The 27,890-nt window shown below is 41.2% G+C and overlaps 1 long non-coding RNA gene across 2 annotated transcripts, besides 2 other annotated features; it reads right to left on the reverse strand.

The window, feature by feature from the left end:
* Positions 1-3,978: 3,978 nt before the first annotated feature.
* On the reverse strand, positions 3,979-26,734 carry LOC105370349 (uncharacterized). Of its 2 annotated transcripts, NR_187801.1 has the most exons (7): positions 26,576-26,734; positions 25,267-25,384; positions 17,579-17,700; positions 15,062-15,198; positions 7,849-7,906; positions 6,292-6,522; positions 3,979-4,512 (listed from the first exon to the last, which is right to left on the reverse strand). It is a non-coding gene; the product is annotated as an uncharacterized LOC105370349 (long non-coding RNA). The 2 variants fall into 2 exon arrangements; NR_187800.1 differs by lacking the exons at positions 6,292-6,522; positions 7,849-7,906; positions 17,579-17,700.
* Positions 25,988-26,870: an enhancer, noted in NCBI's record as "OCT4-NANOG-H3K27ac hESC enhancer chr13:107447980-107448862 (GRCh37/hg19 assembly coordinates)". NCBI's record gives its function as "activates a minimal SCP1, AML or CMV promoter by ChIP-STARR-seq in naive H9 embryonic stem cells {active_cell/tissue: H9 hESC(naive)}" and the evidence as "EXISTENCE:reporter gene assay evidence [ECO:0000049][PMID:30033119]".
* Positions 26,871-27,751: an enhancer, noted in NCBI's record as "OCT4-NANOG-H3K27ac hESC enhancer chr13:107448863-107449743 (GRCh37/hg19 assembly coordinates)". NCBI's record gives its function as "activates a minimal SCP1, AML or CMV promoter by ChIP-STARR-seq in naive and primed H9 embryonic stem cells {active_cell/tissue: H9 hESC(naive and primed)}" and the evidence as "EXISTENCE:reporter gene assay evidence [ECO:0000049][PMID:30033119]".

A 27,890-nucleotide genomic window follows, 5' to 3' on the forward strand; every position in this document is an offset into this window, starting at 1 on the left:
TTCCAACTTTAATATTCCATGATTCTCTAAAACATACAGCATTTTAATAAAATTCTATAACTCCCTTATAAAAAGAAAAGGGAGAGAAGAAGGATTAGGGACAAGGGACTAAGGAAAGGAATTAGTTTTTCCTTATAGACAAAAGGAATGGAATGAAGCCCTTTCTCCTGATATGTCTGAAAAAAGAACTTTTAGGGGCAGAGTTTCAGTAAAATTTCAGTTAAAAACAAAATAGCGTCTCTTTACTGGCCCAGAAACCAAAAGTGCACATATGTTAGACATGGTTTGTACTGATTATTCTGGAATGAGCTATGCATTCATAGAACGTTGATTTTCTCAAGAGAAATCATAAAGCACCAATAGCATTATTTTCCCTCCCAGTGTTTGCACACGCCAAGGTAAGGGAAAGTCTTCCCTTGGTTGTTTTTTTGTAAGAATGACCTTTTTCTTACTTCAGGAGTTTGATTGGCAGGTCCCTACTAAGGAGGAAAAATGAATTTCAAAGCAGACCTAAAAAAAACATTTTTTTTTTCTTCTACTTCTGGGCTTTTGTTGCTCCAGGTGTTACAGAAAAAGCACATTTCTCAACTGGTCTATTCCCTAATAACAGTATTATTAAGATCCCCAAGCACATCTGATATCTCTCTTCCAGAGTCTAGGGAGCACCATTCATTTAGTGATGCGTCAGCCACAAAGAGATTGCATTTTGCTTTGTTTGAAGGCCCTGAGTGTCCTTATTATTTCTGTTTGTAGAAACACTGGGGTACACATGAAAGGGGGAACAGGGAGACATGAAGAAGAAAACAACCCTGGAGTCCGGGTGCTGATTGCCTTTTTTATTCGCTTGAAAACCCTCCCGGTGGATTGATTTGTGATTTGGATACCACTTCTCCAGCTTGGGACTCTGAAGTCTGTGCTTGTCATGCACTTCAGACAGTCAGCAGCCTTCTCACAGGTGAGTGATTATGATGGGGATGCTAATTGGTTTGTTCCACCACCTTTTCCTTCAAAGTGTAGCAGGCTTGCAATTTTCGATGGCCACAGGGAACAGGAACAGCATGCATAAGTGGAATCCACAAAAAATAAAACTGCTTTACTGAATTGCCTCCAAATTCTCCTGGATCAAAAGTGGACTAATTCTAAAAGTGGGGACCAGCCAAATTTGGGGTGAGAGGTGCAGTGGACAGAGGCGCAAGACTCTAGGGCTACTATGCCACATATTTGTTGTTAGAACTGAAGGCGAGAGGCTGGGGAAGGCTGAGTTGCTCAGCCTGAGCTGTGTGATATCGATGTTTTGGACCAACTGGGAAAGGTCCTATTTGGGAGGAAATTACACATCTGGAAAACTCAACTTTCTGCAAAAGCTATGGGCCTTCCCTAATCGAGCCCTAAGGAGCATGAACAATCACTGTCACCAAATCAATTGCACTTCATCACAAAGGGAAATTACCCTGCAACCATGGATCATTTTTGTCAAAACAATAGATAACAAGATATGAGAGCAAGCGCACAGCAGGGAGAAGAGATGGGTGGCATGAGACCACCATTCAGACACGGGTGTAGGTTACAGTAGGAGAAATAGTCATGAGTTATAAACGACCCAGAGGAAGAGTGGATTATAGCACAGGCAGATAACTGGGGACACCTCACTAAGATAAATTACTTTTAGTATTGTCCAAATTGGCTTTGTCAACTTCATGGTCCCTCTTCCACTCCCATGGTAAAACAAAACCCCATACAAAAGGCCTGGTTCTGGGGATCAGGGCCTTTGGTATTCTTGATATGCCTCTTGTTCACACCACACCCCAACATTGGCTGGTTTCTCTGGCCCGAGACCCCCTTCCTCAGCATCTGTGAGCATCTCGCATTTCTGCCCAGCCCACCGTGCATTGAGTCTTTGTCTGAACTGTTCGGGGCTTCCTAATTCTTCCGTCTGCCTGTGTTCTCCAGTCCTGCCTTTGTTCTAAGCCCCATCCCCACAGGACAGCCCTGGTGTAGCACCTTGGGGCTTCTGCTTGCCAGAAAGTTTTGCCTTTGTCAGAATGACAAGCAGACTCTACAACAGGCAGTAAAATGTGGAAGGACTTATATTAACGGCACTGCTTTGCACAAACGTTGTGAACGCCGGGCTTCAAGGGATCATATGGAACCAAGGCCAACTTCATTCACCCTCCTCCCGTCACTGTTGCGTGTGGCCTCTGCTCGTTTATCAGAGGAAGCTTCACAGCAGGGAATAAATTCAGGGTCAGATGGACCCAGGACTGAATCCCACTTCTCCTCCTTACTAGCTGTCTCTTCTGGCAAATCCTTCACCATCCCTGCACCCAGCTTTCTTACGGGTTCATGGTAAGGGAGGGGCGTAGGTGCTATAGTCACACCACTTGGGGAGTATGTGATGATGAGTGTTGTCAGCTCTCAAAAAGATGTCATTTTTCATTATTCAGCCAGCAAATATTCCAGTCACTGAGGATATAAGGAGTGATATGATTCCTTTCCAGACAGCTTCCTGTTTTCTCAGGCACCTGCCCTTTGTACTTGGCTCACATGGAAGCAGTCATTGCCTATCTGTGAAAATCCCTGTTGCTCTTCAACCGTGGCTGAACCTGTTGTAGAAAGCCTGTGCTGAAGGATGACCTCTTCGACATACTCCAGCAGCTCCTACTCGAATATTGCAGAGCACCGTCGGAGAAGCTCTGTCTCTGTCTTTCTCTCTCTCTGTAATACACATACATATGCTCACACCACTGCCCCCAGTCTGCTCACAGCCTTGGTCATCCCCAGTTAAATTCCTGCATGCATCCCCCACAGCTGTTACACATATTTTCCACAGCCAGTTCCCCAGCCTCACCCTGACTTTCTCCCACTGGCAGATGACCCTACTCTTCCGGTTTCTGATAAAATTTCTCACTAAATCCTCTAGGGTCTCAGTTTTCTCAGGACCATTTATAGACCCCATGCTTCTAACATCTGTGATTAGACACATTCCATTTGTTATAGCTTCAGAACCCCTCTCTGTTCTCCCCTGCACATCAGCGTCTCTTGGTGTCTCCATGCATTTCCTCCTCCCTGGAGAGAAAGAGGCTCCCTCTTTCCTACCGGGCAAATCATCCTACCTGGGGTTCCAGGAGCCCTCCACTCCCACCCTCTTCATTCTCGTTGAGGTGGCACCTCACTCACAGCCTCTCCTCTATGCCTTGTTCCTTCAGCCCCTCTCCCTCCACACACACACACACACACACACACACACACACACACACGCAAAAAGCAATTGCATCTCTTTACTGGCCCAGAAAACAAAAGTGCACATATGTTAGACATGGTTTGTATTGATTATTCTGGAATGAGCTATGCATTCATAGAACATTGATTTTCTCAATAGAAATCATAAAGCACTAATAGTATTATTTTCTCTCGCCTTTAGCTTTATTTTTACCCTGTGATGCTATTATGCTTCCATTCTAGCTTTTCCTTCAACTCCATACACAAACTTATTGAAAAATATTTCCAAGCATATGCATTTTATCAACTCATATGTAGTTGGTAAATACATATTTGTATATATATAAAGATATAATAAAACTAAAAATCTTAAGTAAATTGCAAAATATTTTACTAATATCCATTTCCTTAGGATTTTCTTAATATCTATTTTCCACTTTCACCATTTCAATGAAATATGTCTACCCAAAACTACCAAAGTCTAACTGTAAAATCTACTGGTATTTTGTAGGTTTTTCATCCACTGAAGTTCTTACCCTCACTTGTCTGCTGCTGAACTTTAAATTAAAACCTTATAATCTCCCCAGTATGATTTGCCACATTCTTGATCTAACCCAGGGACTGGCAAGCTTTTTCTGTAAAGGGCCAGACAGTAAACATTTTCAGCTTTGAGGACCATATGGTTACTGTTACAACCACTCAACTCTTCCAGGTAGCAGGAAAGCAGCCATAAACAACATGCAAAAAAACTGGCATGGCTGTGCTCCAATAAAACTTTATTTACAAAAACAGGCACTGACTTGCAGGCTACAGATTGCAGACCCCTAGTCTGATTGAATTTTAGCTCCTCTTCTTCCACATCTACCATTTCCAATGGACTGAAAAAATGGCACCCTAAAGATATCCATGTTCTCATCTCTGAAATTTGTACATGTTAACTCATATGATTAAAGAAAAGAGAAGTTCTTTGCATATGTGATTATGTTAAGGGTCTTGAGATGGGGAGATTATTCTGAATTATCCAGGTAGGTCCTAAAGCAGTCACATTCATATCCTTTTAAGAGGGAGGGAAAGGGAGAGTTGATGATGCCCACACAGGAGAGGAGAAGGCAATGGGGCCAAGGAGGAAGACGTTGGGATGACGAGTCTACAATGCAAGGAATGCCAGCAACCACCAGGAATTGGAAGAGGCGAGCAAAGGAATCTTTCATAGAGCATCCAGATGAAGCCCAGCTTTGGTTTGTGCTTGATTTCAGCTCCATAAGACTCATTTCAAATTTCTGGCCTCCAGAACTGTAAGAGAATAAATTGATGTTGTTTTAAGCCATGAAATTTGTGGCTCTAGGAAACTTACCCCCTTGTTACTCATGACTATTGTCTCACTTTTTAAAAAAATTTTATAAAATCTATTTATTTCCTAGATGGACATTATCTCTTATTAAACAATGAACAAAATATGTGATATACAATCGTGCATTTAAAACATGGAAAGACAAACCAATATCTTAAAGTACATGAAGACAAACTTCAGGAGACAAATATTAAATATATCCAAAAACTAATCGGACCTGGACTTTGCTTACAAATTGTTTAAATGGAAATGGAATTCATGTTTAAGAAATGTTTTCACTGATGGAAGAATAAATCTAACAAAACCATTATGTAAAAACATAGATTTACAAAGCCAATGTGTCTCTTAGTTTTAATTTTTATATACCCTATATGATGTTCATATTAAATGAAAATAAAGTTTTAAAAGTCTATCAGTGTAGAAAAAAGAAATTCAGTTGCTCAAGTACTAGTTAGAACATCATATTGATCTTTCTCCTTTGAGGTGCTGCTCACAGTTTACACCCTCATGTACTTTTTCTTTGCATTGTCAGGGACCAAACTCTTGGACATGGCTTCAAGTCACTGTGGACTTCAGCTTCTGAGTCATGTTTTTCCACCCTAAATCCAGTCATTGTCTTGTGACTTTAACACCAAAGAGGAAGTCCACCCAGTTAAGACCTTCTATCCAAGTTCCTTGACTAACAAGATTCCAACAAACCTGGTCTTCGCTTTACTGTGTTTCAGAAATCCACTTCCATGACTGCATTCTTGGCCTTGGTACCACTCTTAAAATTATTATACATTTGGAATATTCAGCTGAAACCCAAAAATCTCTGGCTTGCCCTGCCTTTTCCTCTACCTCCCACTCTCTTCCTCCCAGGACTCCAGAACTGTGGACTTCATTCAGCAATTCCTTGCCTCATTTCTTCCCTGTCCTCCCCTCCTAGCTTCAGTTCCTCCACAGATGAACCCCAAGGAGAAGCACTCTTGGCATTCTTCTGTGAGTCCCTCAATTCTCTTGCCCGCTTGTCCCCCAACAGCACTTGGGGTGAAAATTCCCAACCTTGGATCAGATTCTTCCTTCATACCACCCAAAAGTCATGGTCTCCAGCGTCAGTCGACTACTCACCCACCCACCCATCGTTCACTCTTAGGACCTCATGTCCAGTTCGACTACTCAGCCACCCACCCATTGTTCACTCTTAGGACCTCGTGTCCAGTCTTTTTGCCATCTTGGCCATTCCTCTTTGAATAGTAAGTTCTGTCTGAATTTTAGCTCTTTCCTAGAGATCCTGCCACCACATCTACTGTTTGTGGTGAGCTGAAGAAATAAGAGTTTCGTGCTTCCCCCATGGTGTCCTGTGTCTAAATATTTTCCTCTTTAATGTAGGCATTGCCTGCTATTGTTCCTGTTTGCTTGTTTGTTTTTTCCTAGCTGCGACATACTGCAGGCTTCATGCATCCAGTTTACAGCCGCTAAACTTTTCTTCTTCTTTTGTATGTGTTTCACTGTAAAGGCATATTTCTTTCATTTTCTTGTTTTTAACTTTAATTTTGGATCCTAGCATAGGGCTTCACATTGAACCTTACTAACAGTGTAGACGGTGAAGCACAGTGAGGCATCTATGGTTTTCAATCTGCCTTTTCACTTGTGCTCCTCCATGCACCTGTCAACCAAGCCCTCCTTTCTTATGTGTAAACATGCCATGTAGTTTAGTTGGGATCTGATTTCTCTCTTACTCTCTTCATTGTTCACTACAGGGATGTTCTGTAGCTCTCAGCCCGGCCAATTGAAATATCCAATGGCTCTGGCCTCCATGATTGTAGGACATGGCCCAAATCGGGTCAATCAACACCTTCCACAGAATTTTTGCTGAGGCCATAAAGAGAAACACTCTTCCTTCTCTGGTACCATGGATGGTAAAGGAAATACAAGACTAAGATAGCCAGTGGCAGTCTTTCACGCTAAGCCTGTAAGAGAAAAAGCAAAGCTGAAAGATGGAGAGAAACATAGAACCCCAATAATATAATTCAAACCCTATGAGCCAGCCTTCCACCCCTGTATCTTCCAATTTACATAAGCCAATAAATTTCATTTCTTATTTAAGTTCTTTTAGACTGAGTTTCTAAAATGTACAATTGAAAGAAATTTGACTAAACACCTTCTAAATTGCTTCTTTAAAATTCTATCATCCACCCAGTGTGGTGACTCACTCCGGTAATCCTAGCACTTTGGGAGGCCGAGGAGGGCGGATCACTTGAGGTCAGGAGTTCAAGGCCAACATGGTGAAACCCCGTCTCTGGTAAAAGTACAAAAATTAGCTGGGCATCGTGGTGTATGCCTGTAATCCCAGCTACTCAGGAGGCTGAGGCAGGAGAATCACTTGAACCTGGGAGGTAGAGGTTGCAGTGAGTGAAGGCTGAGACAGGAGAATCGCTTGAACCAGGGAGGCAGAGGTTGCAGTGAGTGGAGATTGTGCCATTACACTCCAGCTTGAGAGATAGAGCAAGACTCCGTCTCAAAAAATAATAATAATACATATATATATATATATATATATATATATATATATGAGTTAGAATAGTGTTTAGCACATAGTTACCGATCAATTAAAAACTAATTACAGATGGTCCCCAACTTAACAAAGGTTTGACTTATGATAGTAGGAAAGCAATACACATTCAGTAGAAACCGTGCTTTGAGCTCCCATATGACTATTTCATCTTTCACTTTCAGCAGAGTATTTAATAAATTACATGAGATATTCAACACTATTATAACATAGGCTTTGTGTTAGATAATTTTGCTGAACTGTAGGCTAATGTAAGTATTCTGAACACATATAAGGTAGGCTAGGCTAAATTGTGATGTTTGGAGCAACACTCTGTCTCAAAAAAAATTATTTCATCCAATATATTTGTCAAAAGATCTTAACTTCTTTTCATTAGAAAAATAAAAATCAGAAACACAAATGTGCCCATCAGACAGTGACAAAAAATGGCTTCAGCTTTTCAGTGCAAATATCACTTTAGATTGAGAGCAATCAATTATTCCACATAGTTTAAGAATTGTCATTTCATTAGCTGAGAATTTACCCCTCTTTTTTGTTTATAATGATACCATAGTAGATCTTTACAGAATTTTTGCTAACAAAGTACTTATGTCGTGTTTATCACATTCTGTTGATGGGCTTTTCTCTGAGGAACATAAAGAAAACTATCTAACAAATTAGTATGTTTTTCTAAATACTTACAATTATTTTCATAATCTATTTTGAGATTTGATATATAGCTTACCTATTTATAGTTTATGGAGTTCACCTTCTCCCTCTTCTTCCTCCAGTAGCCATAGTTTCTCAAAGATTACAAAAATAATTCAGAGATTTAATTTTTAACTAATTGATCATAAATATACATATTCATTTGGAGTATCTGGATACCACATTACAATGCCTTCATCTGCTTGAGGTTTCCTCTCACTAACATTTGTTCTACCTTTTACATTGTGAATCTAGTCTCACCAAGAGAGTCAAAACAGAATTTGAGACCCTCATCCTTCACAGTTCATGCTACTGATCTATACACCAAGTCTAAAATCTATGCATTTCTTATTTCTACTTTTTTCAAACATAATAAATAAAGTTTTATCATATAGGTAATCTCCATTTGGCTTTCTACAATTTTCCTTCATTTATTCATATTTTAGTTGGTTAATAATTTAATTTTATATATTAGTGTTTCCCAAAGTAACAAGACTGTAATTCAGCAAGTGACTACTAAAATATCAGGGGACAAGATGCTTCCTGCATTAGATTTCTTTTTTCATGCAACCATATTATACTTTAGACACAAGTTGAGTTAAAATAAAATGTTTTCAAAAACCTAGCACTGTGTGAATTTAATCTATGTTTCATTTATCACTTTACATTGTATTAGTTATCTCCACATTTTATAAACTATATAAATTATAATATCTCTCACTATGACATTAAAACACACCTTTTTACGTGCTTTTCTTTTCTTGCATGTAAATCTCTTTATTTTATTTTATTTTATTATTATTATACTTTAAGTTTTAGGGTACTTGTGCACAATGTGCAGGTTAGTTACACATGTATACATGTGCCATGCTGGTGTGCTGCACCCATTAACTCGTCATTTAGCATTAGGTATATCTCCTAAAGCTATCCCTCCCCCCTCCCCCCACCCCACAACAGTCCCCAGAGTGTGATGTTCCCCTTCCTGTGTCCATGTGTTCTCATTATTCAATTCCCACCTATGAGTGAGAATATGCGGTGTTTGGTTTTTTGTTCTTGCGATAGTTTACTGAGAATGATGATTTCCAATTTCATCCATGTCCCTACAAAGGACATGAACTCATCATTTTTTATGGCTGCATAGTATTCCATGGTGTATATGTGCCAAATTTTCTTAATCCAGTCTATAATTGTTGGACATTTGGGTTGGTTCCAAGTCTTTGCTATTGTGAATAGTGCCGCAATAAACATGCGTGTGCATGTGTCTTTATAGCAGCATGATTTATAGTCCATTGGGTATATACCCAGTAATGGGATGGCTGGGTCAAATGGTATTTCTAGTTCTAGATCCCTGAGGAACCGCCACACTGACTTCCAAAAGGGTTGAACTAGTTTACAGTCCCACCAACAGTGTAAAAGTGTTCCTATTTCTCCACATCCTCTCCAGCACCTGTTGTTTCCCGACTTTTTAATGATCGCCATTCTAACTGGTGTGAGATGGTATCTCATTGTGGTTTTGATTTGCATTTCTCTGATGGCCAGTGATGGTGAGCATTTTTTCATGTGTTTTTTGGCTGCATAAATGTCTTCTTTTGCAAAGTGTCTGTTCATGTCCTTTGCCCACTTTTTGATGGGGTTGTTTGTTTTTTTCCTGTAAATTTGTTTGAGTTCATTGTAGATTCTGGATATTAGCCGTTTGTCAGATGAGTAGGTTGAGACAATTTTCTCCCATTTTGTAAGTTGCCTGTTCACTCTGATGGTAGTTTCTTTTGCTGTGCAGAAGCTCTTTAGTTTAATTAGATCCCATTTGTCTATTTTGGCTTTTGTTGCCATTGCTTTTGGTGTTTTAGACATGAAGTCCTTGCCCATGCCTATGTCCTGAATGGCAAAGCCTAGGTTTTCTTCTAGGGTTTTTATGGTTTTAGGTCTAACATTTAAGTCTTTAATCCATCTCGAATTAATTTTTGTATAAGATGTAAGGAAGGGATCCAGTTTCAGCTTTCTACATATGACTAGCCAGTTTTCCCAGCACCATTTATTAAATAGGGAATCCTTTCCCCATTGCTTGTTTTTCTCAGGTTTGTCAAAGATCAGATAGTTGTCGATATGTGGCCTTATTTCTGAGGGCTGTGTTCTGTTCCATTGATCTATATCTCTGTTTTGGTACCAGTACCATGCTGTTTTGGTTACTGTAGCCTTGTAGTATAGTTTGAAGTCAGGTAGCGTGATGCCTCCAGCTTTGTTCTTTTGGCTTAGGATTGACTAGGCGATGTGGGCTCTTTTTTGGTTCCACATGAACTTTAAAGGAGTTTTTTCCAATTCTGTGAAGAAAGTCATTGGTAGCTTGATGGGGATGGCATTGAATCTATAAATTACCTTGGGCAGTATGGCCATTTTCACGGTATTGATTCTTCCTATCCATGAGCATGGAATGTTCTTCCATTTGTTTGTATCCTCTTTTATTTCACTGAGCAGTGGTTTGTAGTTCTCCTTGAAGAGGTCCTTCACATCCCTTGTAAGTTGGATTCCTAGGTATTTTATTCTCTTTGAAGCAATTGTGAATGGGAGTTCACTCATGATTTGGCTCTCTGTTTGTCTGTTATTGGTGTATAAGAATGCTTGTGATTTTTGTACATTGATTTTGTATCCTGAGACTTTGCTGAAGTTGCTTATCAGCTTAAGGAGATTTTGGGCTGAGACAATGGGGTTTTCTAGATATACAATCATGTCGTCTGCAAACAGGGACAATTTGACTTCCTCTTTTCCTAATTGAATACCCTTTATTTCCTTCTCCTGCCTGATTGCCCTGGCCAGAACTTCCAACACTATGTTGAATAGGAGTGGTGAGAGAGGGCATCCCTGTCTTGTGCCAGTTTTCAAAGGGAATGCTTCCAGTTTTTGCCCATTCAGTATGATATTGGCTGTGGGTTTGTCATAGATAGCTCTTATTATTTTGAGATACATCCCATCAATACCTAATTTATTGAGAGTTTTTAGCATGAAGGGTTGTTGAATTTTGTCAAAGGCCTTTTCTGCATCTGCTGAGATAATCAGGTGGTTTTTGTCTTTGGTTCTGTTTATATGCTGGATTACATTTATTGATTTGCATATATTGAACCAGCCTTGCATCCCAGGGATGAAGCCCACTTGATCATGCTGGATAAGCTTTTTGATGTGCTGCTGGATTCAGTTTGCCAGTATTTTATTGAGGATTTTTGCATCAATGTTCATCAAGGATATTGGTCTAAAATTCTCTTTTTTTGTTGTGTCTCTGCCCAGCTTTGGTATCAGGATGATGCTGGCCTCATAAAATGAGTTAGGGAGGATTCCCTCTTTTTCTATTGATTGGAATAGTTTCAGAAGGAAGGGTAACAGTTCCTCCTTGTACCTCTGGTAGAATTTGGCTGTGAATCCATCTGGTCCTGGACTCTTTTTGGTTGGTAAACTATTGATTATTGCCACAATTTCAGAGCCTGTTATTGGTTTATTCAGAGATTCAATTTCTTCCTGGTTTAGTCTTGGGAGGGTGTATGTGTCAAGGAATTTATACATTTCTTCTAGATTTTCTAGTTTATTTGCGTAGAGGTGTTTGTAGTATTCTCTGATGGTAGTTTGTATTTCTGTGGGATTGGTGGTGATATCCCCTTTATCATTTTTTATTGCACCTATTTGATTCTTCTCTCTTTTCTTCTTTATTAGTTTTGCTAGCAGTCTATCAATTTTGTTGATCCTTTCAAAAAACCAGCTCCTGGATTCATTAATTTTTTGAAGGGTTTTTTGTGTCTCTATTTCCTTCAGTTCTGCTCTGATTTTAGTTATTTCCTGCCTTCTGCTAGCTTTTGAATGTGTTTTCTCTTGCTTTTCTAGTTCTTTTAATTGTGATGTTAGGGTGTCAATTTTGGATCTTTCCTGCTTTCTCTTGTGGGCATTTAGTGCTATAAATTTCCCTCTACACACTGCTTTGAATGTGTCCCAGAGATTCTGGTATGTTGTGTCTTTGTTCTCCTTGGTTTCAAAGAACATCTTTATTTCTGCCTTCATTTCGTTATGTACCCAGTAGTCATTCAGGAGCAGGTTGCTCAGTTTCCATGTAGTTGAGCAGTTTTGAGTGAGTTTCTTAATCCTGAGTTCTAGTTTGATTGCACTGTGGTCTGAGAGACAGTTTGTTATAATTTCTGTTCTTTTACATTTGCTGAGGAGAGCTTTACTTCCAACTATGTGGTCAATTTTGGAATAGGTGTGGTGTGGTGCTGAAGAAAATGTATATTCTGTTGATTTGGGGTGGAGAGTTCTGTAGATATCTATTAGGTCTGCTTGGGGCAGAGCTGAGTTCAATTCCTGGGTATCCTTGTTAACTTTCTGTCTCATTGATCTGTCTAATGTTGACAGTGGAGTGTTAAAGTCTCCCATTATTATTGTGTGGGAGTGTAAGTCTCTTTGTAGGTCACTCAGGACTTGCTTTATGAATCTGGGTGCTCCTGTATTGGGTGCATATATATTTAGGATAGTTAGCTCTTCTTGTTGAATTGATCCCTTTATCATTATGTAATGGCCTTCTTTGTCTCTTTTGATCTTTGTTTGTTTAAAGTCTGTTTTATCAGAGATTAGGATTGCAACCCCTGCCTTTTTTTGTTTTCCATTTGCTTGGTAGATCTTCCTCCATCCTTTTATTTTGAGCCTATGTGTGTCTCTGCACGTGAGATGGGTTTCCTGAATACAGCACACTGATGGGTCTTGACTCTTTATCCAGTTTGCCAGTCTGTGTCTTTTAATTGGAGCATTTAGTCCATTTACCTTTAAAGTTAATATTGTTATGTGTGAATTTGATCCTGTCATTATGATGTTAGCTGGTGATTTTGCTCGTTAGTTGATGCAGTTTCTTCCTAGCCTTGATGGTCTTTACAATTTGGCATGATTTTGCGGTGGCTGGTACCGGTTGTTCCTTTCCATGTTTAGTGCTTCCTTCAGGAGCTCTTTTAGGGCAGGCCTGGTGGTGACAAAATCTCTCAGCATTTGCTTGTCTGAAAAGTATTTTATTTCTCCTTCACTTATGAAGCTTAGTTTGACTGGATATGAAATTCTGGGTTGAAAATTATTTTCTTTAAGAATGTTGGATATTGGCCCCCACTCTCTTCTGGCTTGTAGAATTTCTGCTGAGAGATCCGCTGTTAGTCTGATGGGCTTCCCTTTGTGGGTAACCTGACCTTTCTCTCTGGCTGCCCTTAACATTTTTTCCTTCACTTCAACTTTGGTGAATCTGACAATTATGTGTCTTGGAGTTGCTCTTCTCGAGGAGTATCTTTGTGGCATTCTCTGTATTTCCTGAATCTGAATGTTGGCCTGCCTTGCTAGATTGGGGAAGTTCTCCTGGATAATATCCTGCAGAGTGTTTTCCAACTTGGTTCCATTCTCCCCGTCCCTTTCAGGTACACCAATCAGCCGTAGATTTGGTCTTTTCACATAGTCCCATATTTCTTGGAGGCTTTGTTCATTTCTTTTTATTCTTTTTTCTCTAAGCTTCCCTTCTCGCTTCATTTCATTCATTTCATCTTCCATCACTGATACCCTTTCTTCCAGTTGATCGCATCAGCTCCTGAGGCTTCTGCATTCTTCACGTAGTTCTCGAGTCTTGGCTTTCAGCTCCATTAGCTCCTTTAAGCACTTCTCTGTATTGGTTATTCCAGTTATACATTCGTCTAAATTTTTTTCAAAGTTTTCAACTTCTTTGCCTTTGGTTTGAATTTCCTCCTGTAGCTCGGAGTACTTTGATCCTCTGAAGCCTTCTTCTCTCAGCTCGTCAAAGTCATTCTCCGTCCAGTTTTGTTCCGTTGCTGGTGAGGAGCTGTGTTCCTTTGGAGGAGGAGAGGCGCTCTGGTTTTTAGAGTTTCCAGTTTTTCTACTCTGTTTTTTCCCCATCTTTGTGGTTTTATCTACTTTTGGTCTTTGATGATGGTGATGTACAGATGGGTTTTTGGTGTGGATGTCCTTTCTGTTTGTTAGTTTTCCTTCTAACAGACAGGACCCTCAGCTGCAGGTCTGTTGGAGTTTGCTAGAGGTCCACTCCAGACCCTGTTTGCCTGGGTACCAGCAGCGGTGGCTGCAGAACAGCGGATTTTCATGAACCACGAATGCTGCTGTCTGATCATTCCTCTGGAAGTTTTGTCTCAGAGGAGTACCCAGCCGTGTGAGGTGTCAGTCTGCCCCTACTGGGGGGTGCCTCCCAGTTAGGCTGCTTGGGGGTCAGGGGTCAGGGACCCACTTGAGGAGGCAGTCTGCCCATTCTCAGATCTCCAGCTGCGTGGTGAGAGAACCACTGCTCTCTTCAAAGCTGTCAGACAGGGACATTTAAGTCTGCAGAGGTTACTGTTGTCTTTTTGTTTGTCTGTGCCCTGCCCTCAGAGGTGGAGCCTACAGAGGCAGGCAGGCCTTCTTGAGCTGTGGTGGGCTCCACCCAGTTGGAGCTTCCTGGCTGCTTTGTTTACCTAAGCAAGCCTGGGCAATGGCAGGTGCCCCTCCCCCAGCCTCGCTGCCGCCTTGCAGTTTGATCTCAGACTGCTGTGCTAGCAATCAGCAAGACTCCTTGGGCGTAGGACCCTCTGAGCCAGGTGCGGGATATAATCTCGTGGTGTGCCGTTCTTTAAGCCCATTGGAAAAGCACAGTATTCGGGTGGGAGTGACCCGATTTTCCAGGTGCTGTCTGTCACCCCTTTCTTTGACTAGGAAAGGGAACTCCCTGACCCCTTGCGCTTCCCGAGTGAGGCAATGCCTCACCCTGCTTCAGCTCATGCATGGTGCGCTGCACCCACTGTCCTGCGCCCTCTGTCTGGCACTCCCTAGTGAGATGAACCCGGAACCTCAGATGGAAATGCAGAAATCACCCGTCTTCTGCGTCGCTCACGCTGGGAGCTGTAGACCGGAGCTGTTCCTATTTGGCCATCTTGGCTCCAGCCCCTTTTTACATGCTTAAAACACATGTATAACCCATTTATATTTTAAATTTTTTTATATTGTTGTATGTATAATTTTCCAGCAAGTACAATAATTTGAAATGAAGCAGCAATCTGTAAGCACTAGTTACAGGATTAAAATAATGTAATCCTTATTACAGTTGCACACTTTTAATACCATGTGTGAGCTCAAAGACATTTAGTGATAAATCCCAAATGAAATTGCTGGGCAACTCTGAAGGTTCCGGTGGAAAATGCATTTAGTAAGTGTTCAAAGTTAGAAAACCATGAAGAATTGAAATTTACCTTTGATGCTGCTCTGCAGGGTGCTGGCAGTCAGGTAAAAGGCAAGCAGAGCCTGTGGTCGTCACATTCGGAGGCTGCGCATTGCAGAGCCATTACTGGACACTGACTCTGGTTGGTTTTTTTCTCAATTAGATTTGCTTCAATAGAAGAACAGGAAATGTTTCTCGAATAAACTGAATGCTTTTATAAATTAAAACCTCATGTATAAGTAGTTCAAGAAACTCAACTGTATTTCTTTTATTTTTTTATTTTTTATTTTTGAGACAAGGTGTTGCTCTGTTGCCCAGACTGGAGTACAGCAGTGCGATCACAGCTCACTTCAGTCTTGACCTCTTGGATTCAGGTGATCCTCCCACCTCAGCCTCCTGTGTAGTTAGGACTATAGGTAGGTGCAGTACGCCTGGCTAATGTTTTCTATTTTTTGTAGAGATGGGGTTTCACCATGTTGCTCAGGCTAATCTTGAATTCCTGACTTCAAGTGATTCACCTGCCTCAGGCTTCCAAGGTGATTATAGATGTGAGTCTCTACACTGGTCTCAACTTCATTTATTTAATTGAATGTTTAGAGGGAGCAACTTAACTCTCAGCAAATTAAGATCTGCCAAATATGTATGTACACACATACACACATAATTTCACATATAATAGTCTGCTATATATGTTTCTGGTTCAAACTTCTTTGTGGATCCCTTTTGGATGGTCAAGAAGTATTTTAAACCCTCAATTAAATTAAACAGTGTCTTTGTTTTAAATTAGCTTCTTCTTGGTCAATTCAGTCTCTTTTGTCTAAATGCTCAGGTTTGTCTTTTTAATTGAAAAAAATTATTATTTTAGTGTATCTACACAATCATTCCTCTCAAGATAGCATTTGAGTACAAAGAAAAACAATGTGTGCTCTGTTAATGACTGAGTCTCAAGTCCAGGCTTAAGTTTTTTGCTGTTTCCTGCACCCTTTAATCATCCACGCCATGCCTGGACTATCCCTTACCACACTTGATCTCTCATAAACCTTCTGGCATCAACTGATGGAGCCACTTCTGGTAAACTTGTTTCTCTCAACATCGGCCATGAGCAATGTTTTCAATCTCCCCAGCCAACGAGTGTCACTTTGCTCTTGCTGGAGTATAACATCTATGGGGCTGGGTGCGGTGGCTCATGCCTGTAATCCCAGCACTTTGGGAGGCCAAGGCGAGTGCATCACCTGAGGTCAGGAGTTTGAGACCAGCCTGATTAACACGGTGAAACCCAGTCTCTACTAAAAATACAAAATTAGCCAGGGGTGGTGGCGCATGCCTGTAATCCCAACTACTTGGGAGACTGAGGCAGGAGAATCATTTGAACCAGGGAGGCAGAGGTTGCAGTGCAACAAGAGCAAAACTATGTTTCAGAAACAAAAAAACAAGACAACAACAATAGCAACATCTATGGGGCTCCGTGGACCCCTGTACCTGGCCCCTGGCTTGAGTATTCTACCCTTTGGCTTCTAGGGGGCAATGTCACCCCTCATAAAGGAATCTTCTTACAGCCCTTCTGGGTCACTTGTTACTTTTCACATCCCCCATTAAGAATGCTCAGTAACTTCTAGATCCCAGTAGGTTCTCTCCTCACGTCCCTTGTGCTGGTGCAGGGAAGGGACATCGTGCAAGACACTTCCGTTCAGAGACCAAAACAGGAAGCGGGACAGGAGACCTCTGTGTTCAGCATCAGTCTCAACATAGCTGGGATGTCTCTACCTTACTCCTTCAAGTTTTAGCTCTGTTTGAGGCCCCTACTATTGGGTGCCTTGCTTTCTTCTTTGATTTCCCTCACTATTTCATAAGATCCTCTTTCCCTTTCCTGTCTGGTAGAAACACTCCTATATCATGTCCCCCTTCTCCTTACCCTGTATACTTTCTGGGTTTTAGATAGTACCTCCTTTTTTTCTTTGCAGGAGCACTAAACTTCAAGCTTAGTCTTAATGGTGAATGAGGTACAGGCAATTTAATTTATAATGAAAATACGGCCGGGCACAGTGGCTCACGCCTGTAATCCCAGCACTTTGGGAGGCTGAGGTGGGTGGATCACCTGAGGTCAGGAATTTGAAAACAGCCTGGCCAACATGGTGAAACCTTGTCTCCACTAAAAATACAAAAATTAGCTGAGCATGGTGGTGGGTGCCTGTAATCCCAGCTACTTGGGAGGCTGAGGCACAGGAATCGCTTGAACCCAGGAGGTGGAGGTTGTGGTAAGCGGAGATCGCACCACTGCACTCCAGCCTGGGCGACAAAGCGAGACTTGGTCTCAAAAAAATAAATAAATAAATAAAAATAAATTGTTTTTATGTTTTCAAAATATACTCTGGGTTGCACTATAAAGTGCTGTGTTTAGTGGCTTCTGCCTTGTGCTCATCACATGGAAGTGTGAGCAAGTGTCTTGAGCCATTCTCTAAACTCATCATTCCGTAATGCCTCTACCATTCAGTTTATAAGATGACATTTTCTTAACACACTCTTCCTAAGATCATCCCACTGCTCTTACCTTATCATTCACTTTCCTAGGCAAGGCCTTTCTGTTTTGGACTTACATCTGCCGTATGAATATGAAAGGCGGAATAACAGGCTGGGTGCTGGAAAAAGATTTCCTGGTGTCAAAATTCTTACCTAATTATGGGAAGTAAGACAAATCATTTAATGTCTCCGTGCTTCAGTTTTCTTATCTTTAGTCATGAGTGTAATAACAGTTGTTGTGACAATTAAATGAGGTAATGCATAGAAAATGCTTAGAAAATGCACAGGACCTGGCATGGGATTCGTGCCCTGTGCATTTTAGCTGTTATTACGATAGAATCAAAGCATCTCAGGTGTGGAAAGATGGTAGGTACAACCTTGCAGTGTTTGAAACTGCCTTTAACATTCCTGTAAAATATTTATACAACTTCTCCTTGAATGCCTCAAGTAAAAGGAGACTCGATACCTTCTAAGGTAATTCATTCTTTCATTGGAGAAGTCTGGCTATTATAATGTTCTCCTTTACCTCAAGTAAATATCTATCCCCCTGAAATATCTATTTATTATTCCTAGAAAGGTTTCTTGGGGCCATTTAAAATAAATCTAATTTTACTTTTATTTGAGAGTCCTTTTAATATTTGAGCATAGTCAGCATGCCTGTTTCTTTTTCATATTGCATTTCCTCATGAGCTGAACAGTCAGGTATCTCTAATTGGTCCTCTTACAATATGGTTTAAGTCCCTTTACCATCTGGGCATGGGAGGTCATGTAAGCTATCACAACTGCAGCAAGATCCTGTTATCCTGACAACAAATGGATTAGGGACAACTATGTTTCTTAAAATCAGACTAGAAGCATCCTTTAGCTCTTTGGAAATTATAGTCCACATGCAAGCATGGTAATTCTCCTTTTATCCAATGTCACATAGAAATCAGGTGCTCTACAGTTGAGAGTTTTCCAAATAATATTAACCCTTTAAGCACCAAATTTTTGGGGGGTAGCAAGTGTGATACTTCCCCAATTCTACAATCTTATGGTAGATTTTGTCAGTGCATACAAAGTTATAGAATATACAGTGAATCCCAAACTTGACAGTTTAAAATTTGGAAAGTCAGAGGTAACGCATGCCTACAAATCACTGTAGAGCTTGGCAGTAGTGAACCATGTCAATTAGAATAACTCTGAGAATGCGCTGCAAGTTTAGAGGTGGGGGAGATCACCTCCATCAGGTGTGGTCAGGAGTGAAGATCAGGTGTGATCAGGAGTGAGGATCAGGTGTGGTCGGGAGTGGGGATCAGGTGTGGCCAAGAGTGAGGATCAGGTGTGGTCAGGAGCGAGTGGGGAGGACTTCATGGTCAAGCGGGAAGACAGAATGGCCCTTCAGAATGGCTAGAGTTTTAAGAGGTAGAAATGTCAAGTATAACATTACAGGAGAAATTGCACTGAAGTGCTGGGGGGGGTATGTACAAGAAGTGAGGGAGCACAAAGTGAAATCAGGAAGCAGTGGAACAGCAGGCTTCCATTCAGCAATAAAAATTAAAGTGCACCTGCGCAATCCAGATCTTGCAGTGTTGAACATGGACAAGTCATTTCAGGCCTGATGGTGTTTATAGATTGTTGGGACAGAGAAATAGAAAGCAAATAACACAAATAAATGAAACAATTATAATTCTGATATTTCAATAAAGGAAAGATACAAAATGTGGTGAGAATATATAACAATAAGTCCCTGTGAGTTCAGAGATGGCTTTCTGGGATTGACATTTAAGCTGGGAAGTAGAAGTAGAAGTTCCCTGGGTAATATGGAAAGCTGGAAATTAAGAAACTTTACAAACACCAGGAATCACATGGATAAAGCCCCAGAGGCAGGATGGGGTGTATATTATTGGAGGAACTTGGAGTGGTTAGAGTTCAGAGAGTAAGGAAGAGACAAGCAAGAGATGGGGGAGGGAGGTCTGACGTTTCAGGTTAATCCTGACAGCAATAGAATTGCCAGGCTTTGAGCACACACTGACAGGGGCAGATTTGCATTTGTAAATGAAAGGCAATGAATTGAAGGGACATGATGGATTTGCCATCCAAGTAGATGAGCTTGCCTAGAGAACGAGTGTGGCACCAAGGAAAGATCACCTAACATTGAACCATTAAAAATGCCAGCATTAGAACATCAGAGAGTGGGAGAGAAGCTAATTAAGAAGATTCTGAGAGACTAGGGATCATAAGGACCACACACTTTAATCAACAAGTCAAGAAGTGATTTTGACCTCTTGGTCCAACTCTAAGACAACCATCCTAACAAAAATTTTCCAAATCCATGGAGCAAACAGTCACTTCTTCATCCCCAAAAACGGCCATAATATTTATTTTTCTTTTCCTTCCTGTCACTCTCTACCCTGAAACATATTTATTTATCTATTTATTTATTTTTAAGACAGAATCTCATTCTGTTGCCCGGGCTGGAGTGCAGTGGTACAATCTCAGCTCACCTCAACCTCCACCTCCCAAGTTCAAGCAATTCTCCTGCATCAACCTTCTGAGTAGCTTGGATTACAAGCGCGCACCACCACGCCCGGTGAATTTTTGCATTTTTAGTAGAGACAGGGTTTTGCCATGTTGGCCAGGCTGGTCTCGAACTCCTGACCTGAGATGATCCACCCGCCTCGGCCTCCCAAAGTGCTGGGATTACAGGCATGAGCCACCGCGCCTGACCAGAAATATAGTTGTTTACAAACACATCCTTTCTATAGACTAAAAGCTTTCAATGTCAGAATCTATTTTTTGTTCATCTTTGAATCACTCAAAGAACTGAACAGAGAGATTTGTACATGAGTACTCAGTTTTTTATTGAATTAAAAAAATGGTCTAATTTGTGAAACAGGAAGATGAATGGTAGATGTGGTTATGCACAGGAGAGATTGCTGAGGAGAGAGACCACAGGCCTGGTACAGAAGTACTGCAGTAGCTCTTTGGGGAAACAAAGACTAATGGCAGCAGGAATAAGAGGAAGAAATAAATTTGAGGGACATTGGAAGAGAAATTGACAGAGTTCAGTGATCTCATCCTATTGTATGATTTAAACACTTTTATACACTGATGACTCCCTTGTTTATGTATCTCCTTTGAGATCCTTGCCTCTCCTTTGAGATCCAGGCTCATATATTCCACTGTTGACTCAGCATCTCATAATTGTCCCATCCTCAATTCCACTCTTTCCCTAATCTTTCTCACGTTCTTCAATGGCATCACCAATCAGGAATTGCTCAGGAATCCTGTCAGATTCATACCTTTCTCTCATCTTCCCTCACCTGGTTTCATACTGAGCCCATAACCAAGCCCAACTCTACATTCAAACCATATTCTAAATTTGTCTCTTCTTCCACCCCAGCCATGCTAGCCTTATCTTCTTTTCTCTGCAGTAATGCAAACACCTCCTGACTGGCTGCCTTTCCTTTGTCTTTCTGCAGTCCATTCTCCAAACAGCAGCCAGTGATCCTTCACAAACCTGTCAGAATGTGCCATTCCACTGTTTGAAACCTTCCGGTGCCTGCCACTGCACATAGAATCAAACCCCAAATCTTTATTGGCCCCTACTCGCCTCTCTGACTTCATTGGAATCCCTTTCCAACCTGCCACCCTGCAGTCAGCCCTTCTCAGCTGGGGTTCTTTTAGAGAATGAAACCAGAGTGCCATAAAGCATGTGTTACATATAGTGGCTTCTCTCTTGTTCCTCTAGAATGGCCCAAACTTGAGAGAATTTGGGAAATAGTCTTGCAGGTCATTTCCTATAGGATTTCATTCTCTTAGGAACCCTGGTGGATAAGACTGCTGCACACGTGGACATAGATATTCTTTTTTGTCACTTGAACATGAATCCTGGTCCCTAGACCTTTGCACTTGTGCTTTTCTTCATAAGGATTGCAATTTCCCCAGAACCTCACAGAGTTGGCTCTTTCCAACACTCAGGACTTAGCACAAAAGTTTAATGAAAGGCAGGGCGTGGTGGCTCACGCTTATAATCCCAGCACTTTGGGAGGCCGAGGTGGGTGGATCACGAGGTCAGGAGATCAAGACCATCCTGGCTAACACGGTGAAACCCCGTCTCTATTAAAAATACAAAAAATTAGCCGGGCGAGGTGGCGGGCGCCTGTAGTCCCAGCTACTCCGGAGGCTGAGGCAGGAGAATGGCGTGAACTTGGGAGGCGGAGCTTGCAGTGAGCCGAGATCGCGCCACTGCACTCCACCCTGGGTGACAGAGCTAGACTCTGTCTCAAAAAAAAAAAAGTTTAATGAAAGTGTCTGTTCCCATAGAGGCTTTTCAAAACCCCTATTTCTTTTTCTTTTTTTTCTTTCCTTTTTTTTTGAGACGGAGTCTGGCTCTAGTCGCCCAGGCTGGAGTGCAGTGGCACGATCTCAGCTCACTGCAAGCTCCGCCTCCCGGGTTCACGCCGTTCTCCTGCCTCAGCCTCCCGAGTAGCTGGGACTACAGGCGCCTGTCACCACGCCCGGCTAATTTTTTGTATTTTTAGTAGAGACGGGGTTTCACCGTGTTAGCCAGGATGGTCTCGATCTCCTGACCTCGTGATCCACCCGCCTTGGCCTCCCAAAGTGCTGGGATTACAGGCGTGAGCCACCGCACCCGGCCAAAACCCCCATTTCTAAGGTAGCTTCACCTCCCAAGCTGCCACTATCCTATAACCCTGTTACTTTCTCCTTATCATCTCTTATTATATATGTATTTATTTATATATTTATATTTATTTATATATATATATATCTTTGATGCCCTTATCTAGATTTTAAAATTATAGGCACAAATTGAATGTATACACAGGTAGCTTTCTACATTTATCATTAACATGCTGAGCATTCATTTGGCTTCTATAGTAGATAACAGCAAAAAAAGTCTGATTGGAGGTAATATAGTCAATCATAATTTCATTCCATCCATTCTGTTTTTGAGATGAATGCTCAGTTTTTCCTGCCATCTTCATTCTCTGTCCTGAGATGGCAGCTGGGGCTCACCGCTTTATGGCATCAATGGAAAGGCCTCTCATTGATCTTTTGCTGAGCGGTTCTGTGCTGCTTGGTTATTGAGCTTCATATGTACACATTGGCTGCAGTTACTTGTTGTGCCTGCTGTAACCTATGGTCATGACACCCACATTTTTAAAAATCTTTGAAAATAGTTTGCCTCTCCATTTACTTATCTTCCCTGTTCTGCTGCTGCCCCTCCTTTCTTGGGAAGCCCAGTGTCTTAGTCCATTTTGTGTTGCTGTAACAGAATACCTGAGATTTGGTAATTTATAAAGAAAAGAGGTTGAGTTGGCACATAATTTAGTGGCTGAAGAGCCCAAGGCTGGGTAGCTGCATGTAGTGAGGCCCTCAGCTTGCCTCAATTCACAGCAGAAAGTGGAAGGAGAGTGGGTGTGTGCAAAGAGATTGCATGGCGACAGAGGAAGCAAGAGAGAAACCGAGGAAACAAGGCTCTTTTTAACAACCCACTTCTGAGGGAACTAATCCATTCCAAGAGAGAAAAAGCTTACCCTCAGGAGAGTATTCATCTATTCATGAGGGATCCACGCCCATTCCCCAAACATTTCCCACTAGGCCCCACCTCTCAACACCACCACATAGATGAACAAATTTTAACATAAGTTCTAGTGGGGATAAACCATATCCAAACCATAGCACCCAGGAATGCTCTAATGCTACATTGATGATGAAAATTGTGCCTAGGATGTATGTAGCATCGTCAACTACATTGGTGGTTATGCTCTGGGGGGCAGTGCACACTCCTCCTCCCTATTGTATCAGTCAGGATGGACTAGGTTACATTGTGGTAACAAGCACCTCCCAAAAATCAGTGGCTCAAAAACCAATAGTTTATTTCATGCTTATGTTACATGTCCTTCAACTTCATCTGGGGCTTTGCTCTGCATCACTCCAAGGACCATTGGATGTGGCAGTTGTCATCTTGAACATGAAACATGCCATTTTCACTCACATTTTATCGGCCGAAGCAAATCACACAGCATGCCTAACTTTCAGGTTAAGGCAATATACTTCCACTGCAGGCTCAGGAACTATTTGGTAAAGAGCGCTAATTACTCATGATCCCTGCAGTCATCCTGATTGACACCATTTTTGGTCTTAAACTTGAGTGTGTGTGTGTGTGTGTGTGTGTGTGTGTGTGTGTCAGAATCACCAGGAGGGCTTGTTAAAACACAAATTGCTGAGCCTCATTCAGAATAGGTGTGAGGTGGGTCCAGGAATCTGCATCTCACAGGTGAAGGCGATGCTGTTGGTGGAGAGAGCTGCTACTCTACAGCTCAGAAGCTGTTGGTTTGTGAGGCTTCTCTAAGAAGCTTGCTGCCTCTGGAGACTCACTCTGGAAATTAAAGCATGTATTGCTGCATTCCCTTAAAGAAATCTGGCATTTCTCTTAGAGCTTATGTTATTGTACTGCTGTTCTACCACAAGCTCATGCTTGGGGGTAAAGTGCTGGTCGCTCTTGAAGTTCAGGCAATAGACCTTACCCATGTCCAGTCTTCTTTTTCAATAAGTTTTTATTTAATAAATAAATGTTAACAGTTTCTATCATGCAAAGTACACATGCAGTGGCTCCAGCCTCTTTGCTGGGACTCTTTGAAGAGGTTTAACTAGCTAGCAACTAACAACTTTCAAGCCTTTGTAGGCTCATCCTATAAGTCTAATGTGAAGGTTCTATGTAAATGAATGACGGTTTAAAAAACTACTATATGTGAAAGGAAAAACACGATCGATTACTGCTAAGAACATATAATTAAGTTTAGTCAATAAAGTATTCTGTAAGGAACTTGCTTTAATAAATATAAAAATGATGTTGTTTAAAGAGATTTTCATGAATTTTAAACATTAGCCCTGGCATTCATTTGTAATATAGGGAAAAATTTTGCTAAGGTCGAAATTTGGCTCATTCCTGGTTCAAACTTTAAGAAATCCCGTATTATTGGAGTCACATTAGTATAGTTCAGCTCTATTTACAAATCGCATTGGATACATTTGAGTTGGGATGTATAGGGACAGTTTTCCTGAAAGTAGAGCTATTTTGTCAGAATAAGTTCCCACCCAGCTGATTCATCATACCCTGAAATGCCATGCTATTTCTGAAACATTTGGTTAAGCCAGCTGATATTTTTAAGTAGATGTTATCACCTCTCCTCTAAGGCTAAACAAACATATCTGTCTCCACCTAGGCTAGAAGTTTAAGGGATAATATGTGTGCACATTAGACTCATAGATTTTACCAAATGAAATATTCTACTCTACGATAGCATTTCTTTTTCAAAATATTAATCTAGTCTTCACCATTAAGACACAGCGTTCTTTACTTTCATAATAGGTTTTGCTTCTCATTATAAAAATAGTACATATCCATCATAGTAAGTTTAGAAAACACAAAGTGAAAGAAAAGTCACCTCTGATTCCATGGTTCAGAGATATTGCGAATGTATTAGTTTATATTCTTCTAGTCCTTTATTTTTCTTGTGCTTATAAAAATATCTTTTAAAAATGATAATGTAGGGCCAGGCGTGGTGGCTCACGCCTGTAACCCCAGCACTTTGGGAGGCCAAGGCAGGCGGATCACCTGAGGTCAGGAGTTGAGACCAGCCTGGCCGACGTGGTGAAACTCCGTCTCTACTAAAACTACAAAAATTAGCTGGGCATAGTGGCACATACCTGTAATCCCAGTTACTAGGGAGGCTGAGGCGGAAGAATCGCTTGAACCTGGGAGGCAGAGGCTGCATTAGGCCAAAATCGCGTCACTGCACTCCAGCCTAGGCAACAGGGTGAGAATCTGTTGAAAAAAAAAAAAAGAAAGAAAGAAAGAAAGAAAGATAATGTACTTATTACTGGGTAACCTGCTTTTTAAAAACCAGTATATCATAAACTTTCCTCCAATCCACTAAATATTATTCTACATAATATTAATGGCTGCATTAAATTATGTTTTAATAAACATTTTACATTAACAAAGGAAAACAAAGTGCACTAGCACTTTCTTGTTTAAATCATTGCTTGGGAGAGCACTTTCTAGGTAATTCATGATTTATAGCACAAGGCATGCAATAAATTTAGCGGTCATAATGATTCATCAAATTATTTTATGATAGTGACTTCCTACAGAGAAAGGAGCTGCAATAATTGAACTTGAAATCAAGTAGCTAAGATTTGCAGAAAGTTTAAAATAAGTCCATGTACCATATAACTTTCTTAATATTTGCATCTGTAAAATCAATGTAGTACTGAGAGATGAAAGAGATCTCAAGAGAGGACCTAGTTCACCCATTTCACCATAATCTGTTTAATTTGCATATCTTAATTTGAAACATCACTATACAGAAATCTTCACAGATTTTGTCTCTGATTTTTTTTAACATCTATGAATAAAATTCTACAATTGCCTTTACTAGCACCTGCCTGTGTTTAATAATGTCTACTGTCCATGCCTCAAAAGCGTTTGACCCAGAGCAACTCCATCTTGCACAGGGGCTGGGTAAAAGAAGGCTGAGACCTACTGGATTGCATTTCCAGGAGGTTAGGCATTCTAAGTCATAGAATGAGATAGGAGGTCGCTACCAGATACTGGTCATAAAGACCTTGCTATTAAGACAGTTTGCAGTAAAGAAGCCAGCCAAAACCCACCACAACCTAGACGGTGAAGAGAGTGACCTACAGTCGTCCTCACAGCTTATTATATGCTAGTTATAAAGCATTAGCGTGCTGAAAGACACTCCCACCAGCGCCGTGACAGTTTACAAATGCCATAGCAATGTCAGGAAGTTATCCTATATGGTCTTAAAAGGGGAGGAGCCCTCAGTTCCTAGAACTGCCCACCCTTGTCCCAGAAACCTTGTGAATAATCCACCCCTTGTTTAGCAAATAATCAAGAAGTAACAATAAGTATCTTTGGTTGCGTAGCCAGTGGCGTAGCCATTCTTTCTTCCTTTACTTTCCTAATAAACTCGCTTTCACTTTATGGACTCACCCCGAAATCTTTCTGGCATGAGATTCAAGAACCCTCTTTTGGTGTCTGAATCAGGACCCCTTTCTGTTAACACATGAATTCATTGCATCTCCCATATAACTTAAATCTCTCCCACTGCGTTTTGGCTACCTCCCTGCTGCCGCCTCCTCTGTTCATTTCACTGTAGAGGAAGAACATCTGGTTGCTAATTCTTTCTTTCAAAGATGCTTTCCAATGTGTTGATGAGTAACTTGCGGAGTAGAATAGACCTGCAGGTGGGCTGCCAGGCATTCCAGCTGAGATGACCGTCAACAGATCAGACACACGATACCTTACGGAGTGGTGTCATTTCCATTTCATATTTATTTTCACCCGCTGGGTGTATGGCACTCTAAACAAAGTGTTTACCGTGAAAGCGATCTTGAGATTCAGTGAAACCGGTGTCACTGAACGTGCTACTTAAGTCACCATTGTAGAATATTTGACAACGTTGAAAGTGATAAAATGAAAAAACATTTAGAAGTAGCTACTTCCCCTCTGTGTTTACTCAGCCAGTGAGGGCTAATTGTTGTGTTGACAACCCAGGGCTTCTACTTGGCTAATTCTGTGATCTTTTGAAATGTTAATTACAGTTTCCGTGATGTCATTGTTTCTCCTTCCACAGTTTTAGATGAAACGGGGTACCTTAACTTTATCTTTTTTTAATGAGCTAACCTGACTGAAATGAATTGATCTTTTACCTCTTAGCGGGGAATCTTCTGTCTGGGACACATGTGTGGGTTTCCCCCAATCTCTCACAATACCATTAGCTACCTTGAAGGAGCAGATGCCGCCTAATTAACATTTCCTCTCTTGATGTCTCCCTGCAGTTCTTCATTTCTATCGTTCTGTTTTTAGATTTACAATGAGTTTGTAAATTTACAAAATAATGATTTGTTATGTTAATTTGAAAATGCAGTGATTTTTTTCCCCTCCTGTTGTTTTCTCTCTCCCTGTCCATTTAAGCTGTTAATAAATAAATTAATAACAACTTTCACTGGCCAGGTGTGATGGCTCACGCCTGTAACCCCAGCACTTTCAGAGGCCGAGGCAGGCGGATCACCTAAGGTCAGGAGTTCGAGACCAGGCTGGCCAAAATGTTGAAACCACATCTCTAGAAAAATACAAAAAAAAAAAAAAAAAGCCAGGCATGGTGGTGGGTGCCCATAATCCCAGCTACTCGGGAGGCTGAAGCAGGAGAATCTGCTTGAACCTGGGAGGCACAGGTTGCAGTGAGCCGAGCTTGCGCCACCGCACTCCAGCCTGGGCAACAGAGCAAGACTCCATCTCAAAATAA

The sequence above is a fragment of the Homo sapiens genome, chromosome 13, assembly GCF_000001405.40.
Source record: "Homo sapiens chromosome 13, GRCh38.p14 Primary Assembly".
NCBI lineage: Eukaryota > Metazoa > Chordata > Mammalia > Primates > Hominidae > Homo > Homo sapiens.